The sequence below is a fragment of the Homo sapiens genome, chromosome 2, assembly GCF_000001405.40.
Source record: "Homo sapiens chromosome 2, GRCh38.p14 Primary Assembly".
Classification (NCBI taxonomy): domain Eukaryota; kingdom Metazoa; phylum Chordata; class Mammalia; order Primates; family Hominidae; genus Homo; species Homo sapiens.
In genome coordinates, this window is record NC_000002.12 from 35,471,129 (window position 1) to 35,472,181 (window position 1,053).

The window sequence follows — 1,053 nt, forward strand, 5'->3', positions numbered from 1 at the left end:
ACATATATGAACTTTCAGAAGCATTCTCATTAAATTGGGAAAAACAGAAGGATGCCCTCTTTCACAGTGTCTACCCAGCATCATCTTCAGGATCTAGCCAATACAATAAATCGAAAGGAAAATTTATATATAGTTAATAAATAACCTAAACATATATTTTACAGAAAATATAATTTTTATTCCAAGAGTCAATGTACTCAGTTGCGGTAAAGCAAAGTTACAAGAATTCTATAAGGATCCAGGATCAAAACACAACAATTTTCACATACGTGTCAACTGTTAGGTTGGTGCAAAAGTAATTGTGGTTTTTGAAAGTAACTTGGCGAAAACGACAATGACTTTTGCACCAATCTAATACAATCAACAGTTGTGGGAAGAATTTTAACTTTTCACTCTATGTTTGTACTGTTTTAGTGTCTATGTGCATGTATGTTGTAGTTTATATGTAGGTATTACTCACGTAAAAAATTAGTTTGGTGCTTGCTTCAGCAGCATATATACTAAAATTGGAATAATATAGAGATTAGCATGGCCCCTGTGCAAGGATGACATGCAAATTCATGAAGCGTTCCATATTTTTCCCATGAGATAATTGTCTTCAGTGTCCTGGAGGCCCTCGAGGTGGGCCGGTTGGTAGAATGAGAGGCCCTCCCAGTGGAGGCATGGTGCAGAAACCAGGATTTGGAGCGGGAAGGGGGATTGCTCCACAGCAGTCAATATTCATGGATCTTCAGGCAGCCATACAAATCCTAGTTCCTACAGAATGGTGAATTTCTTCAACCAGCCATCGTGGAGTATGGCCCCAGTCTGTTAACTGCTTAACTTTGTGTGTTTTAAAAAACAGTCAACCTGGCTGCTGTGTGGAGAACAAATATAAGGAGAAAAAATGAAGGCAAAGGGATTTTAGATGGCTGGTTTAGAAGCCTATGAATTGGACTAAAGTGAAGGAAGACATGAAGATAGAGACAAGTGGGTGTATTTTACTTTAAAATTAGAATTGACATATTTTACTTATATGAGTGGTAAGCATGAATGAGTTATTAAGGATAACTC

At 37.3% G+C, this 1,053-nt stretch overlaps 1 non-coding gene and 1 pseudogene across 1 annotated transcript; both read left to right on the forward strand.

Moving 5' to 3' along the window:
* Positions 1-276: 276 nt before the first annotated feature.
* On the forward strand, positions 277-358 carry MIR548AD (microRNA 548ad). The gene has a single exon (NR_039629.1). It is a non-coding gene; the product is annotated as a microRNA 548ad (primary transcript).
* RNU6-1117P (RNA, U6 small nuclear 1117, pseudogene) lies at positions 477-580 on the forward strand (annotated as a pseudogene).